This window comes from Homo sapiens, chromosome 19 (assembly GCF_000001405.40).
Source record: "Homo sapiens chromosome 19, GRCh38.p14 Primary Assembly".
Classification (NCBI taxonomy): domain Eukaryota; kingdom Metazoa; phylum Chordata; class Mammalia; order Primates; family Hominidae; genus Homo; species Homo sapiens.
The window spans coordinates 56,854,123-56,871,871 of record NC_000019.10 but is presented as its reverse complement, the minus strand read 5'-3'; the positions used below and the strand labels follow the sequence as shown (position 1 = coordinate 56,871,871).

Here is a 17,749-nt window from a genome sequence, read left to right as displayed (position 1 = left end):
AAATAGTTGGAATCTACAGAAAGAAAATGTTCAGGTTAAGATAAAAGATTGTGGACAAGGTTTTTTTTGTTTGTTTGTTTGTTTTGAGATGGAGTTTGGCTCTTGTTGCCCAGGCTGGAATGCAATGGCATGATCTTGGCTCACTGCAACCTCTGCCTCCCGGATTCAAGCGATTCTCCTGCCTCAGCCCCTCAAGTAGCTGGGATTATAGGCACACGCCACCACGCTCAGCTAATTTTTGTATTTTTAGTAGAGATGGGGTTTTTCCATGTTGGTCAGGCTGGTCTCGAACTCCCGACCTCAGGTGATCTGCCTGCCTCAGCCTCCCAAAGTGTTGGGATTACAGGTGTGAGACACCGCGCCTGGCCCCAGGGTTCTTTTGAAGTCTTATAGTGGCTGCTCTTAGACACAATAGATGACAAATGTTTCATATTCAGACCTTTAAAAGGTGCTAGACTCTTAGTTAATCTCCTCAGGATTGGGAAGGCCTAGAAGAAAAAGATCTAGCTATGTTTATAGAGATTCTTTACAGATGCGAATTTTCCCCCACAAAGGACAGCTTTCAATGGCCATTTCAAAACATGGCAAAGAAACATGTTTGGGGTAAAATATTTTGACTTTCTTCTTCATCACGTAACGTTATGCCGGAGTCAGATGAGAAAGTAAGTTACAATATATAGGGTTAAACAAAACCTATCTGATGAGAATTTATGGTTTGTAGGGCATGACTTCCCAGACCCCTTACATAGGAATTTGGGCAAGATAAAAGAATCAGAGCTTAATCCTCAAGTTCAGTGACATTAAATACATTCACATCTTTGTGCAACCATCACCACCATCCAGCCCCAGAACTCTTTTCTACTTGAAAAACTGAAACTTTGTACCCATTAAACAACAGCTCCCCATTTCCTGTGGCTCAGCCCCTGGCACTTACCATTCTACTTTCTATCTCTATGAATTTGACTACTCTAAGTACCTCATGTGGAATCATACAGTATTTGTCCTTTTGTGACTGGCTTCTTCCATCTAACATAATGTCATAATGTTCATCGATGTTGTAAGAAGTGCCCGAGTTTCCTTCCTTTTTAAGGCTGAACAATATTCCATTGTATGGGTAGACCATATTGGGTTTCCATTCATGTTTTAATTTTAAGACATCATCTCCAGAGACAACTGCCTCACCTGATTTTTAACCAATACATTCCTAATCCTTAGAAAGTGTCTGATGTAGTTTTTGTTTGTTTTTTGTTTTCTTGTGTGTGTGTTTTTTCTTTTTTCTTTTTTTTTTTTTTTTGAGACGGAATCTCGCTGTGTTGTCCAGGTTGGAGTGCAGGGGCGCAATCTCGGCTCACTGCAACCTCTGCCTCCCAGGTTCAAGCGATTCTCCTGCCTCAGCCTCCCAAGTAGCTGGAATTACAGGCAAGAGCCACCAGGCCCAGCTAATTTTTTGTATTTAGTAGAGACGGGGTTTCACCATGTTGGTCAGGCAGAGGGTATTGTTGATCTTGAGAAGATTTTGTAGAGTGGCAGCAAATCCTGGTTGGAGTGAACTGAGGAGAAAATGGGAGGGGAGAAATGAGTCTATGGGGACAGTGAGTACAGCCAGCTCCTCAGAGGGCACGTGGCCTCCGCAGGGAACTGGAAGATTGTCATTACTGCCGCAGCATGGAGACCCAGGATGGGAGCAGAGAGAGGTGAAGCTGGGCCAGCTGGCAAGGTTGGGTTTGGAGGGCCCGAGGCATCATGTTGGCCACTTGGACTTTACCCTGATGGGCGGCAGCCCTGGGGTACCCGGAGCAGGGGCAGGAGATTACACAGTGAGGCTTTCTTTTTGGCCACTGTGTGTGTGTGGAACGGGTGGAAGGTGACTAGATAGAAAAGGAAGAACGTTTAGGAGGCCACAGCAGATGCCCAGGGAGAGATGGTGGCAACATGGATGGAGTCCTGGGGACAGACCCCAACTGACAGTGCTGATAGTGGGAGATGATCAAATTTCTTTGGAGAGTTACAGAAATGTTGAGACAAATGGGATGAATTTTCTGGCTGAAGCTTGTGCCCCCCGAGGAGAGGAAGCTTCAAAACATCCACATGGGCTGAACGTGCAGAGGGGACGCTGGCCCACGACACCTAGGAATCCTCCCTTGATTCCTGAGCTGAGACCTCGTCACTGCACTCCAGCCTGGGCAATAAGAGCGAAACTGTGTCTCAAAAACAAACAAACAAACAAAAATCCCAAAAAGCAAAAAACCAAAAAACAAGGCCTCAGTGAGCCCCATGACTCACAGCAGGCTCCTGGTCCTGTCTGCATTTTAGAAAGGTCACCCTTGCCTAGGCTGGGGAAATGAAAGGAAGTGGGAAAAAGTGGAAGCAGGGAGACCAGCAAAGAGGCTGGCACACTTGCTGCTGTGGGATCCCCAACCCCACCCCAGAAATTCATATGTTAAAGTCTGAGCCCCCAGACTACCTAAGGATGTGGCCTTATGTAGAAATAGGGTTGTTGCAGATGTAAGACATTAAGACGAGGTCACACTGGAGTATGACAGGCCCTAATCCAGTACGACTGGGGTCCTTATGAAAAGGAGGAATTTGGACACAGATGTGTACACAGGAGAAGACAATGTGAAGATGAGGACAGAGATCAGGGCAATGGCCAATGGAGGCCAATGATGGCCAATGACTGCCAGCAAACCCCCAGCAGCTAGGGGAGAGGCCTGGAACAGATCCTTCTTCCCTGTTGTCAGAAGGAACCAGCCCTGCTGGGTTTCTGGCCTTCAGAACTGTGAGACAACACATTTCTGCTGTTTAAGCCTTAATATTTATGTAGAGGTGAAGTTTTGATACATTGCACAAGCTGATCTTGAACTCCTGGGCTAAAGCGATCCTACCTCCTTGGCCTCCCAAAGTGCTAGGATTACAGACATGTGCCACCATGCCTAGCTAATTTTTCTATTTTTAGTAGAGATAGGGTCTCTCTATGTTGCCCAGGCTAGTCTGGAACTCCTGGGCTCAAGCGATCCTCCTGCTTTGGCCTCCTAAAGTGCTGGGATTATAGGCATGAGCAACTACAACTGGCCCCACTGCCTGTTTTTGTATGGCTCATGAGCTAAGAATGGTTTCAGTATTTTTAAATGGTTGAAAACAAATCCAAAGAAGAGTATTTTTGATGTGACAAAATCATCTGAAATTCAAATTTCAGTGTCCCAAAATAATGTGGAACATAGCCATGTTCATTCACGTACATATTGTCCATGGCAGATTTTACACAAAATGGTAGAGTTGCATAGTTACAACAGAGACTGTACAGCCCACAAGCCTAAAATAGTTATTGTCTGGTCTGTTCCTGAAGTTTTGCTAACCACTGCACTTGATTATAAGTTCCAATAAAAAAGGCATCAGTTTGGTTCAATACAATATCTCTTACACCTCGCACCATGGCTGGCATGTTAGATATGTTCCTGTGTATTTCTTATGTAAATGAATGTGGAGCTGAAGCTTGCCCCGTACTCCTCTGGCCTTACTGTTACTGGTTGTTCACCTCCCTGCTACTCCAGTTGAGTATAAGGTCCTCAATGGCTATGATCATGCCTTGTGCATCTTCTCTTTTACAGAATCTTACCCAGGGAAGGGGTCAGTGAATGTCTGAATGGGTTGGTCCAAGCATTTTGAATCCAGGCAAGTATATTCTTCAGTGAACCCTGGACAGCTCATAAAACCTCATCGTGGCTCAGAGGAAACATTGCTCTATACTGTGGACCTCCATGTTTTCATTCCATGCACTCCAAAAACCCTCCTGATTTACCTTCATTTTGAAGCACAATCTTTCAGTTCCTGCAAATAATTTCTTCTCACTCATTCCTTTGTAAATCACTAACAACACTGGCTAACATTTATTGAGAATTTACTCTGTGTTAAGCACATTACATGCATTATCTAGTAGAAGCTTAAAAACACACAGTGGGATGCTCTTTCTTGACTTATTCAGATAGGCAAAAAAGATGGCTATAGGCCAGGCACACTTCAGACCAGTTTAGCATCACAGCAAAGGGAACGATATTTCTCATAATTCCCAAGGAAAAGTCCCAGGTCAGTAAGTCTCTGACTGGCCCATTGGAGTCATGTGCCCATTCCTGAACCAATCACTGTGGGCATAGCAACAGCATGAAGTGACCAGGCCTAGGTCAGATGCTAACCAGTTCTCCATAGGAAAGAAGGCTTCTGTGGCAGGAAGCCTGGGGAAGGAGTGTTGGGCAGAAAAACTACAGAGATCTGCAACAACATAAATTATGTTCATGAATACTGATGAGATCAGTTCTATCTCTGGCATTTTCAGTTACTTAGGCCAATAAATTCTCCTTTTTATTTAAGTCAATTTGAGTTTAATATCCTTTTTCTTCTAACTAAAAGCAAATGAATTCATTTATATATTTTCCCTCTCCATCAGAATGTAAGTTCCATGAGAACAGACACCAAGTCTATTTTGTTCCCTGCTGTCCTCCCCTTGCCTAAAACAGTGCCTGGCACCACAGTAGCTGCTCAGTAAATATCTGCTGTTTTGTGATTATCTATTTAATGTCTGACCCCAATCCCACCAGGATCATTTCCATGCAGCTCAACGATTTGTTTTGAACTCATCTGTGTATCTCCCAGTCCCTAATACATGTCTCACACATAAGGGTCCTTAGAATACACTGAAGAATAAACAAATGTCTCTTCCACTGAACTCTAAGAAACAGGAAAATAGAGACTGTGTATGTTTTGATAGTAATTATATCCTTGGGATCTAGCACTGTTTGATATGTAGAAGTGCCCCCCATCATTATTGGTTGAATAATGACTAAATACATTTTAATATGGTAAGGATGCATAAAGTTTATGTCACCAGTGTTTGAAGCAATTCCTGAAGTGAAAACTTATGAATTCATGGGGTCTGCAGAGGTTTACATAGACAATTTTTGTTCTTTTGCAGAGACTCCATCCAAGGACAGATGTTGACACATACAAAATTCTTGCATAAACCATTGATGGAGGAATAGAAGGCTTTAGGGCTTCAAGCAGTCCTTCCCATCCCCCAGCCAGGGTATGCTGACGTCAGTTGTTCTGGCTTATTCCCTCTCAAAAACTCTTAGCTCTTGTTAGCTACAGAAGCAGGTTCAGTTTGTTACCATGGAAACTGCAGCTGGAGTGGGGAAGGGGAGGGAGGCTGAGGAATGGTCAGACACTGGAATTTTCCAGCTCTGGAGGCAGATTATGTGGAATAGAAATCCGAGACCAGCAGCACACAGTCAGCTCTCAATAAATAATAATTATTATTTTATTTATTTATTTATTTATTTTTGACATGGAGTCTCACTCTGTCTCCCAGGCTGGAGTGAAGTGGTGTGATCTCTGCTCCCTGTAACCACCCCCTCCCGGGTTCAAGCGATCCTCCTGCCTCAGCTTCCCAAGTAGCTGGGACTACAGGGTAGCGCCACCACACCTGGCTAATGTTTTGTACTTTTAGTAGTGGCAGGGTTTCACCATGTTGGCCAGGCTGGTCTCGAACTCCTGAGCTCAGGCAATCTGCCTGCCTCAGTCTCCCAAAGTGCTAGGATTACAGGCATGAGCCACCGAGAGGCCTCAATACATATTTTTTGGGGTGACAGTGAAAATATTAGAACTTGGACAAGTAACCTCCTATCTCTGAGCTTCTGTTTGCACTTATAAAATAAAAATAATCGTTCTACTGTGTAAGAGGTTTCAATTAAGATGATATAAATACAACACTTACCACGAACTTTATAAATCACAGTTTCTCAAGTGTAGTTTTCTGACCTGCTTTAGAATTGTTTGGAAGTACTTATTTACAAATTCCGGATACCGTTTTCTTTTCTCCTCCAGTTCTTTTTCTAAGAGGAACACAATCATTTTTCCCCCCCACCTTAACATGTCTTCTAAGTTGCTAGATAAAATATAGGACACCCAGCATATCCAAACGGGACATACTTATGCTAACAAATTATTTGCTTAGTTTATCTGAAAATCACATTTGACAGGGTTATCCTACATTTTTTATTTACTAAATCTGCAACCCTACTTTTCACACTAGGTCACTCTGAGACAAATCAAAAGTTGGTGTTATTAGCTAATCTATCCGATTAACAGTAGCTAATTATTAGCGAATCTGTCTGTTAACAGTAACTCAGGGTGCCTTTTTCAAAGACTCCAGTCAGTCATTTGAGAAATACTCAAGGAGCATCCATTCCATGCCAAGTACCATGCAAGGTGTAGAGGATACTGCACCTACACTCATCAGTGGCTGCCCTCTCAGAGCTTTCATTCTGATCATAGAATCATACATCTTTTCCCCACAACATAACGAAATCTTGGGAGGCCGAGGCAGGCGGATCTCTTGAGCCCAGAAGTTCGAGATCAGTCTGGGCAACGTGGTGAAACCCCATTTCTACAAAAATACCAAAAAAAAAAAAAAAATTAGCTGTGTGTAATGGTGCGTGCCTGTAGTCCCAGCTACTCAGGAGGCTGAGGAGGGAGGATCACTTGAGCCTGGGAAGTTGAGGTGAAGTGAGCTGTGATCACATCACTACACTCCAGCCTGGATGATAGAGCGAGACCCTGTCTCAAAAAAACCGGAAAAACAAAAAAACCGTATGAAATTTCAAAATATTTCAAAATATTCAAAATATGATTAAATATAATTCTAAAACTGAAATTTAATAGAATTCTAAAACTTATTTTTTAAAAGATTACCTCACTGTCTAGATCACAATGTAAAAATAATGTGTCCAAATGCACATTTCTCCAAGCTCTATCACAGACCTTTCGGTATAGCTGACGGACGTCCCACGTTTGACCCGTTCTCCTGTTTCCCAGTCGGCCGTGGGCTCCCTGAGGACAGGGCGTGTGTCACTTCTCGCAAGGTTTCCCAGGCGCCCTTGCGCAGGGCCCTGCACGAAGCGCATGCGCACTACCCGCGACCTCGTTGACCGGAAATACTTCTGCCTGGGTCTCACCACAACCGTCCTCTGTGACTGGAGCTCGACTGAAGAGAGCTGCGACTCTGAGGACGTAGTCAATGGAGGCCATGGTTCTACTGACCAACTCCTTCAGAGGAACCGGGAGGACAAACCACAACGGCGAACAGGCTAGATTCGAAGGCGGGCGGGGTGCATGCACAGAGGGCCTCGAACTCTGGCACCATCTTGGGCCCCCGCGGGCTGGACGCTCGGCCTTTCCCTGGGGTCGGCCAGGTTGGTGGGCTTGCGTCCCGCGCCTCTTCGACACACAGACTTCCCGTCTCTTGGGGAGATACCGCCGATGTCCTCCAGACGGCAGTGCTGGGGATTCCAGTCGGCGCCGGGCTGCAGGCCTCGCGCTGAGACCCAGCCCGTCGTGGTTGGGCGTTACCCAGGTGACCTGATAATCACAGGACTCATCCGCCAGACGTGGTCTCTTCTCTGCCTTGCCCCACCGACGGCTTCCAGTTTTGCAGCTAGAGTCTTCGAAAAAGGCGAGCAACTTCCCAGAACGGCTGCTGAAGTCTGGGGCCCATCCCCTTACCCCTAGTGCGCCCATTCTACGCTAGCGTTTCTCAGAACTTGCTATTTCCGATTATTAGCATTGATTTGACTGGGGGAAAAGCCTGTGAGACGCCTAGCGCGGAGGATAGGAAATGGCTTTCGACAAGAAGCAGTTGCTGGGGTACTCAGCCTCTTTTACACAGTTCTGTGGAGATGCAGATTACGTCAAAATGTACCCAGTGTACAACTGAATATTTTTTGGTAAATGTATGAGTTGTACAGCCATCACCGCAACCCACTTTTAGAATGTTTACGTCAACCAATCCCACCATCCCCAGTTCCCTCGAGCCCATTTGAGGATCAGCCCCAGGCAAGCACTAATCCACTTTATGGCTCTTGAGATTTCCCTTTTCTGGACGTTCCATGAAAACTGAATTGTACAGTTTATGATGTTTTCTTCTTACCTTTAGCAGAACACTTTTGAAGTTCATCCATATTGTAACGTTTATGTGGAGTTTGGTCTCTTTTAGAGGAAGCTAGTTTTGGTTCAGAACTGCTTTGCTGAGTGAATCGTAGAGACTGTTGACATTGCTTGAAAGCTGTAGGTGTACCACGCACCCCTTTATGCCCTTAAGTTTGGCTCAGTTTTGTCAATTTCTTTTTTCCCTGGATTGAGCATGTATAATTAGGATTCTCAGACTTATTAGCTGAAAGTCTGTTAAGGATGCCGGGTTTGTTCACTTGCTGGCTTGGATTTGGATCCAGGCCCTCTCGCTTGTGTGATTTTGGACAACCATTTAACCTCCTTATGTCTTAGTCTGCAGGGGATATTTATTCCTAGTTTAAATGAGTTATTGCATGAGGAGTGTTTAGTGTCTGGCACATAGTTCAGCTAAAAATGTTAGCTATCATTATCTTGCATGGTTTTTTTTTTAATTGTGCTTTTTTTTTTTTTTTTTTAGTGGTGATGAGTTAGAGATGAGTGCTATTGCAACCCAGTGAGCTAGGGTATTAAAACTTGTCTGTTTTCTTATGACCCAGATCAATTTGTGGCACATACTTATTTGCTTCCTGGGAGTTGGTAGGAAATTTATACAGCTCACCAAGATTATTTTGATAGTTACTTTTGGTACGTTATATTTTTTCAGGAAATTATGTATTTCCTTATGTTTGCAGATTTATTAATAAAAGTAAATGGTGGGGTGTTAAGACTAATCTCTGGAGGGCAGAAATGAGGGTTAGAGTGCTGAGCTCTATGTGGAACATACGGCAATTTGTTTAACATCCCGAGGACCCAGGTTCATCCGTGGAATTGGATAACAATGGCACCCTACCTTCCTGGTTGTCAGGAAGATTAAATGGAAATCTTCTATTTAACCACAGCACCTGGCAGCACAGGGAAAGTTCCATAACTGCCAGCTGTTGTTATTTCCATTCTGCAGCGTTCTTTCCAATTAAAACAGCTTAGGGATTGTAAACCTCTGTGAACCAGTTAATTAAAATGAACTGGGAAGCCCTCCACTGTTTTCTAGGCCTTGGAACACTTTATGGAACAGAGACATTATTTGTTCCTTGAAAGTTGGAGGTTAGTTTCCATTCCTACTCCAGTCACCTTTTGAGGCCATGCTTTTTCTTCCTTTTTTCGGGGGTTGGGGGGTACTTTTTGTGCACTACTCCTCCCTTTTAATAAGAGTTTTAAATATAATAACAAAGAGGGTCAGCAAATCTTTTCTGTAAATGGCCAAACAGAGAATATTTCAGGCTTTGTTCGATATACCGATGTCTTGTCAAAATTACTCAGTTCTGTCCTTGTAGTGTGAAAGCAGCTGTAAATAAATGGGTGTGTCTGGGTCCAGTAAAACACAGCCAATGTTATTTATGAACATTGAAATTTAGGTTTCATTTAATTTTCTCATGAAATATTTTGTTTTTTTCAACCATCAAGTTTTTTTTGTTTTTTTTTGAGACGGAGTCTTGCTCTGTCGCCCAGGCTGGAGTGCAGTGGTGCGATCTCGGCTCACTGCAACCTCCGCCTCCCAGGTTCATGCGATTCTCCTGCCTCACCCTCCTGAGTAGCTGGGACTACAGGTGTGTGCCACCACGCCTGGCTAATTTTTTGTATTTTTAGTGGAGACGGAGTTTCACCTTGTTAGTCAGGATGGTCTCGATCTCCTGACCTCGTGATCCACCCACCTCGGCCTCCCAACATGCTGGGATTACAGGCATGAGCCACTGTGCCTGGCCCATCTATTTTTGATTCAACCGAATTTTTGTATTTTGGCTGTGTGAACTGTATAAAAACACAGCAGACTGGACTTGGCCTGCTTGCTGTAATTTGCTGACCCCTACCATAGTATTTCATGACACAGTGACTAGTGGTGTGATGTAGAGTCAGAAAGACGTGGGTTTAATAAAATTTTGGTTCTGATATGTGTTAATTGGGTGTATTTGGGCAAATTAGCACATCACTCAGCCTCATGGTCTTCATCTTGCAATAGGCAGTAAACTTACCTACCTTCTTGGTTGTCAGTTGGGATAATACATGTGAAGGGAGTCAGTGTGATAATCCACAGTGCTAGGAGTCCAGTGAATCATATATTAGCTATAGCATATTCTTTTTTGAGAGTTGGTTGAGTAGACTAAGTGCTGGAGGGTAGAGCTAGATGACTTGGTTTTTAATCCTAGCCACTTTCTAGCCATGTGACTTTGTGCCAGTCATCTACCCTCTCTGTGCTTCCCCTTCCTCATCTGTAAAATAGGGATTATTAATAGTACCTACCTTAGATAGTTGTCATGAAGATTTGAGAAGCTAACAATTATAAAGTGCTCAGACACATTCCTGGTACATACACATTCTTATTATGTCAAAATAAGGTATATTTGGGGTTGAAAATCCATGTGCTTTCTTCAAATGAAACACTTTTGTCTCTTTTTGCTGAAATTTACACAATTTATAAAGCATAAGAATTATTTGTTCTTTGGAAATGTGAAGAAAGTTGCCTATAAATGGCAAAGGCTTGGAGAACTTTTTGAGGAAAGTACTCCCCTGACGTCTGCCAAGTGTTTATTATCTCCCTTCCTTTCAAGAACGTTCCATTTCATTATGGCTTTCAAATTTAATAGCCTAGAAATGTACTGAGTGGTGGTTGAGGGCTGAGGCTCAGGAATCTAACAGATTTGAGTTTGATTTCTAGCTCTGCCACCCTTTAGCTTGTAACCTGGGAAAAAATACCTCTTAAGGCTTGCCTCTCATCTGTAAAACCTGGGTAATAATGGCATCTACCTTATTAAGTTGTTATGATAATTAAACATAATCATTCACATAAGGTGCTTGGTGCCAGGCCTTACCCATTGTAAAAGTTTAATAAATTATAGCTATTATTTTTATTATTCTCCAGGGCACTCTTGAATTAAGATGCACTTGGAAGCCATCTGCTAGCTTCTTAAATGGACAGCTTCCCTCTTATTGTAGGTTTGAAATGCTTAATAGCATTGTAGGTTGAGTATTCCTTATCTGAAATGCTTGACACCAGAAGTGTTTTGGATTTCTGATTTTTTTGGATTTGGGATTTTCAACTGTATATGAATTATTTGTTCTTAGGAGGCTGCCTTCATGAACCTGTTAGTCATAAGTTTGTTTTCTTTTTTTTTTTTTTTTTTTTTTTTTTTAGACGGACTTTTGCTCTTGTTGCCCAGGCTGGAGTGCAATGGCGCAATCTCGGCTCACCGCAACCTCCACCTCCCAGGTTCAAGCAATTCTCTCGCCTCAGCCTCCCTAGTAGCTGGGATTACAGGCATGCACCATCACGCCTGGCTAATTTTTTTTTTTTTTGTATTTTTAGTAGAGATGGGGTTTCTCCATGTTGGTCAGGCTGGTCTCGAACTCCTGACCTCAGGTGATCCGCCCACCTCGGCCTGCCAAAGTGCTGGGATTACAAGCGTGAGCCACCACGCCCAACCCATAAGTTTGTTTTCTAAGAAAAAGGGGGGCCGTTTCTTGAAGATTTTCAGTGCATTTGCATAGGATTGTGTTGGGAGATAGTAAGCAGTATAGACAGAAAAACTCGTATTTGAATTCTGGCTTTCTCAACTATTTAGATTATGACCATGAGTAGATAGTGTCCCCTCTGAGCTGCAGATTTCTCGTCTACAAAATAAGTATATTAGTTTCAGTTTCATTAAGGTTGTTAGGAAAATACACCTAGATATGTATTTTTAATAACAGCCTTACCAAGATATAATTCGTCTGCCATACAATTCACCTATTTACAGTGTGTACAGTTCAGTGGTGTTTAGTAATATTCAGAGTTGTATGGCCATCACTGCCCTCAATCTGAGAACATTTTAATTACCCTAAAAAAAAACTCTTCACTCCTCATTCCCCTCTTCCTCCAACCGTAGGGAACCATTCACCTATTTTCTGTCTATAGATTTGCCTATTCTGGACATTTCATATAAATGGAATCATACAAGGTGTGAGCTTTTGTGACTGCCTTTTTTTACTTAGCCTACTGTTTTCAAAGTTCATCTATGCTGTAGCATGTATTAGAACGTTGTTCTTTTCTATTGCCAAATAATATTCTGTTGTTTGGCTATACATTATTTATCTGTTCATCAGCTAATGGCCATTTGGGTTTTTTCCCCTTTTTGGCTATGTTATGAATAATGCTGTTAAGAACATTGATGTGCAAGTTTTTGTGTGAACATGTGTTTTAATTTTACCTACCAGTAGAATTACTGGGTCATGTGGTAACTCTATGTTTAACGTTTTGAAGAACTGCCAGATTGTTTTCCAAGTGGCACCCAGATCTTTTATAAAGCACTTACTCCAGTGCCTGGCACAGGGTAAGTATCCCATACAAGATAGCTATTCTTGTAACACATTTTCATTGTAGGAAATATGTTCTTGAAAGCCACTCTTCTAATTTAGTTCAATGAATTGGCAAGCCCTCGTCTTTTTCTTCTTAATGTCCTGGGAACTATCTGTGCAGACTAAGAATAATTTGTTCCTTAGGCATTGGAAGAACACTTACAGTCAAACAGATTTCAAGTAATTTTGTTTCCCTAGAAAATTATGCATTTCTTTAAGGTTTTCCAGTTTATTAATACAGAATTAATGTAGGATAGTGGTTGCAGAGTCTGACCTCTGGAGTTACTTACTGGATATGCTTCAGTTTCCTTATATGTAAAATAGAGGTGATGAGAACACCTATCTCAGGAATTGTGAGGATGAGCTGCAAATACATGTAATGCTTGATGCAGTATATAGCACACGGGAAATATTCAATAAATATTAGTTTTATCTCATGGAGCCTGTGGGGGCTAGATTATTAAAATGTACCAGAAAGTTTTAACATACAGGATTCTTTGTAAGAAGGCTTTTCTTACCTTTTTTCCCCCCCATTTGGCAGTCAGTTTGCTAATTTTTATTTTCCTTGAAAATGTTCCTTTTCATTAAAATTTTCATATGTACTCATCTAAAATCATATTGAATATTAACTTTTTTAAACTTTTAATAGGTAATATATTTGTGTGGTTTGAAATTCAAAAAGGAGAAAATTCCTCCTCCCATCTTTCCCTCTCTATAGATAACCAGTGTCTCAGAAGATGTGTTTGAGTCAGAAAAAGAAAAAAAAAAAGATAACCAATGTCAATAGTTTTGTGAATATCCTTCCAGTGTTATTCCATGCATATAGAAGCAAATATGTATACAGTGTGTTTCTCTTTTTATTTAATAAATGAAGTATACTGTGTTTACTGTTCAACACCTTGGCTTTTCATTTAACAATGTATCTTGGCGATTGTTCCATAAGAGTTTTTGCATGCTTTTTTATCATTGTAGATTTTTCTATTAAATGTATGTGCCATAATTTATTCATCCAGTCTCCTCTTTGTGAACATTTTACTTATTGTTAGACTTTGTTAAATCTGTATCTCTTAGCTCCAGATGTTTTTCTGCTTTCTGATTCATGTTTTACTTTTATATCAATTATTGCCTTTTTCTCCATTCTTCTTAGGTTTATCTCATGATGGGCCTTTAAAATGAACCAGATAAAAATGATTTTCTCTACCTGCACGATGATCTGCATTGTGGAAGCCAGAGTAGCTCTCCTTATCATTCTGGTCATGTTCTTAGGCATTGACATGTGAGTATGTGTGGAAATCATGCTGTTTTTCAGGGGACCTGCTTGAGATGTGAGTGCCGATCTCACCTGGGAGAAATTCTTGTAGTGTGCTACAGTTGCGGGTTGTATGGGATCTCCAGTCGTTAAATGGCCTACAGGTCTTGCAGGGTCTGACTCTTCTGTGCTTCTGTAGCCTTTATCTTATGCCATTCTGTATTCTAGCTACACAGGTTTCTGTACTCCTCCAGCCTCATAAGCCTTGTGCACACCGTTAACTAGGCATGGAATGTCTTTCTTTATTACCTAGTCTGGGTCAGGCTCTCTGATATATGTGTTATAGCACAATATTTCTTTCATCACATTTATTGCTTGTTACTTATGTTATTTATATGCTTATTTGATTGTTTGGCTTCATCAGTGAGCTATAAGCCCCATGAAGGCAGAGACTGTGTCTCCATTGTTTATCACTGTGTCTCTAGTGTCTGAATGTAGTTGATACGCATTACCTGTTTATTAGATGGTTGGATAAATGAACATCTACCATTTTGCCAGTTCAGGGTTAGAGCTTTCTGGCTGGTAAGCCAACTTGAGCAAAAAGTGGATGAGTAACCCTGCATTTTCTACATGTACTACTTTGGTTACCATGTTATAGCTTGACTTCTGAATGTTTTAGCTTCTCATGAGAAATGGTGTCCAGTGCCCTTTTGGACAGGGACATATAAGCTGAACTTTAGTTCTGAACCTTAACACTGTCTGCCAGACTTGACATATTTTCCTTTTATAATATCTGATTCATGATGGAGGTGGTCTTTTGCCTGTCTTTAATCCTGTATGTAATTAATTGCTTTTGGGAACTGTTCTTTTAATATTTGGACTTAGTGGTACTTTTTGTGAAAGGGTTGGTTACTTTAATATGAATGTTTGGCTTTATACTGTCCTGAAACTCCTACTTGAGAAAGTTAAAAAATAAAAGTTTTCCTTAAGGAAAATTTGTTAGATTTGCACTACTGAGGAACGGTGTACAAATTTGTATCTGAAGATATTTATCCAGCAGCACCGAATATATACACATGAATTCGAAATACTTAAGAACTGGTTTATTTATTTATCTTGTAAAGTAGTGTTTATTTTAATCTGACCATGCAACAAATCAGCTATGTGTGGAGGACTTCAGAGCCCTGGCAGAGACCTCTCCAGAATCCCTGCTCAGTGTCTCCACTTGCTTTAGTGTAAGCATTTTAAATATTACATGTCCCACATAGCTTTTGATGTTATGCTCTTACCCTGAAACCTGTGTCTCAGTTACTCACCAAATAACACTCCTGTGCACCCAGTTGTCCAAACCAGAAATGTGGAACTCATTTCTGATTCTTTTTTCTTTGCCACACATACACAAATCATCAGCAAGATTTCTCTATATTGTTTCCAAAGTACATCTTGTATTTGTTCACTTCTGCGTATCTCTACTGCCACCATACTAGTTTGGAGCCCTGCCATCCTTTGCTGCCCCTTAACTGGTCTTCCTGCTTCCTCTGTTAAGTATCTCTAGTCCCCTAGTTCTCCACAGAGCAACATGAATCATCTTAAAATGCACTGTGTCAGGCCTTATTTAAAAATCTTTAATGGCCTCCATTACATTTAGGATTAAGTTCAAGATCTTCCTCTTAATCTACAGTTCCAAAAGAGCTGGCTTTTGAATACCTGTACAACCTCATTTTACACCCCTCATTATCCTCTAGCCACTCTGATGTCTTTTCTGTTTTTTTTCCTTTATTATCTTTGTATATTGCTGTTTTGTTCTTTTTATTTTTTTATGTTTTGAGATGGAGTCTCGCTCTGTTGCTCAGGCTGGAGTTAAGTGGTGCGATCTCGGCTCACTGCAACCTCTGCCTCCTGGGTTCAAGCGATTCCCCCACCTCAGCCTCCCGAGTAGTAGCTGGGATTACAGGTATGCACTACCATGCCTGGCTAATTTATGTATATTTAGTAGAGACGGGGTTTCACCATGTTGGCCAGGCTGGTCTCAAGCTCCTGACCTCGAGTGATCCTCCGCCTCAGCCTCCCAAAGTGCTGGGATTACAGGCGTGAGTCACCACGCCCTGCCTGTTTTGTCTTTTTGAAATGTTCTTCCCTTCTTCTTCCCCAGGCTGGCTTTTTCAAAATTTAGTCTTAGTTTCTCTTCCTCAGAGATCCCTGACTATTCTGTATCTACCATACAAACATAACCATCCTCATTTCGGCATCCTGGGTTTTTTGTTTGTTTGTTTGTTTAAAGCATTTACCATAATCTTTAAAGGTTTATTGAATGTCTCTTCCCAGCTGGACTGAAACTCTGAAGACATATTAAATAAATAAGTTATGGCAGGGGCCATTTCAATTTGATTTACAATGAACCATGAAGTTGACCTAGCATTGGGTCTTATATTAAAAGTAATTGCGAAAACCACTATTACTTTTGACCAACCTAATAAGATAGTAGGTACTCAAATATTTGCTGAAACAATAGCTGAATAATCATTTATCGAGAGACTTCTGTGTATTAAGCTTTGTGCTAGGCCTTGAGATCATAATAGTGAAAAAGACAGATTTCCATCCAATCTGCTCAAATAACCCAGACTGTTACAGATTTACTGTAGACCAGAGATTCTCAAGCTTTTTGGTCTCAAAACCCATTTACACTCATGAAAATGAGGACCCTAAAGAACTTTTGCTTATGTGGCTTATACCTATCAATATGTATAGTTTTAGGTATTTTAAAAACTAGAAATATGGCCGGGTGTGGTGGCTCATGCCGGTAATCCCAGCACTTTGGGAGGCTGAGGTGGGCGGATAACTAGGTCAGGAGTTCGAGACCAGCCTGGCCAACATGGTGGAACCCCATCAGGATGAAATTTGGATGGGGACACAGAGCCAAACCACATCATTCCTCCCCTGGCCCCTCCCAAATCTCATGTTTTCACATTTTAAAACCAATCATGCCATCCAAACAGTCCCCTAAAGTCTTCACTCATATCAGGATTAACTCAGAAGTCCACAGTCCAAAGTCTCATGGGGTTCCAACATGGTGGAACCCCACCATGCCATCTCCAGCACGCGCCTGTAATCCCAGCTACTCAGGAGGCTGAGGCAGGAGAATTGCTTAACCGGGATCCGGGAGGCAGAGGTTGCAGTGAGCCGAGATCATGCTACTACACTCCAGCCTGTGCTACAGAGTGAGACTCTGTCTCAAAAACAAACAAACAAACAAACACCTAGAAATAAAGTCAGAGGATTTCAGTACCTGTATTAGTCCAATTTCACACTGCTGATAAAGACATACCCAAGACTGGGAAGAAAAAGAGGTTTAACGGACTTACTGTTCCACATGGCTGGGGGGCCTCACAGTCATGGCAGAAGGCAAGGAGGAGCAAGTCAAGTCTTACATGGATGGCACCAAAGAAAGAGAGCTTGTGCAAGGAAACTACCATTTTCAAAACCATCAGATCTCATGAGACTTATACACCATCATGAGAACAGCACAGGAAAGACCCACCCCCATGATTCAGCTATCTCCCACTGAGTCCCTCCCACAGCACGTGGGAATTATGGGAGCCACAGGATGAAATTTGGATGGGGACACAGAGCCAAACCACATCATTCCTCCCCTGGCCCCTCCCAAATCTCATGTTTTCACATTTTAAAACCAATCATGCCATCCAAACAGTCCCCTAAAGTCTTCACTCATATCAGGATTAACTCAGAAGTCCACAGTCCAAAGTCTCATATGAGACAAGGCAAGTCCCTTCTGCCTATGAGCCTGTAAAATCAAAAGCAAGCTAGTTACTTCCTAGACACAATGGGGGTACAGGTATTGGGTAAATATAGCTGTTCCAAATGGGAGAAATGGCCAAAACAAAGGGGCTACAGGGCCCATGCAAGTCCAAAATCCAGCTGGGCAATCAAATCTTAAAGTTCCAAAATGATCTTCTTTGGCTCCATGTCTCACATCCAGGTCATGCTGATGTAAGAGGTGGGTTCCCATGGTCTTGGGCAGCTCTGCCCCTGTGGCTTTGCCAGGGTACATCCTCCCTCCAGGCTGCTTTCATGGGCTGGCATTGAGTGTCTGCAGCT

At 42.0% G+C, this 17,749-nt stretch overlaps 1 protein-coding gene across 1 annotated transcript; it reads right to left on the bottom strand.

The window, feature by feature from the left end:
• Positions 1-1,300: 1,300 nt before the first annotated feature.
• On the bottom strand, positions 1,301-7,710 carry LOC124904779 (uncharacterized). Its single transcript, XM_047439800.1, has 2 exons — positions 6,814-7,710; positions 1,301-1,550 (listed from the first exon to the last, which is right to left on the bottom strand). Exon 1 carries the CDS (start codon positions 7,567-7,569, stop codon positions 6,901-6,903), a length of 669 nt encoding a protein of 222 aa, XP_047295756.1. The 5' UTR covers positions 7,570-7,710; the 3' UTR covers positions 1,301-1,550; positions 6,814-6,900.
• Positions 7,711-17,749: the final 10,039 nt, after the last annotated feature.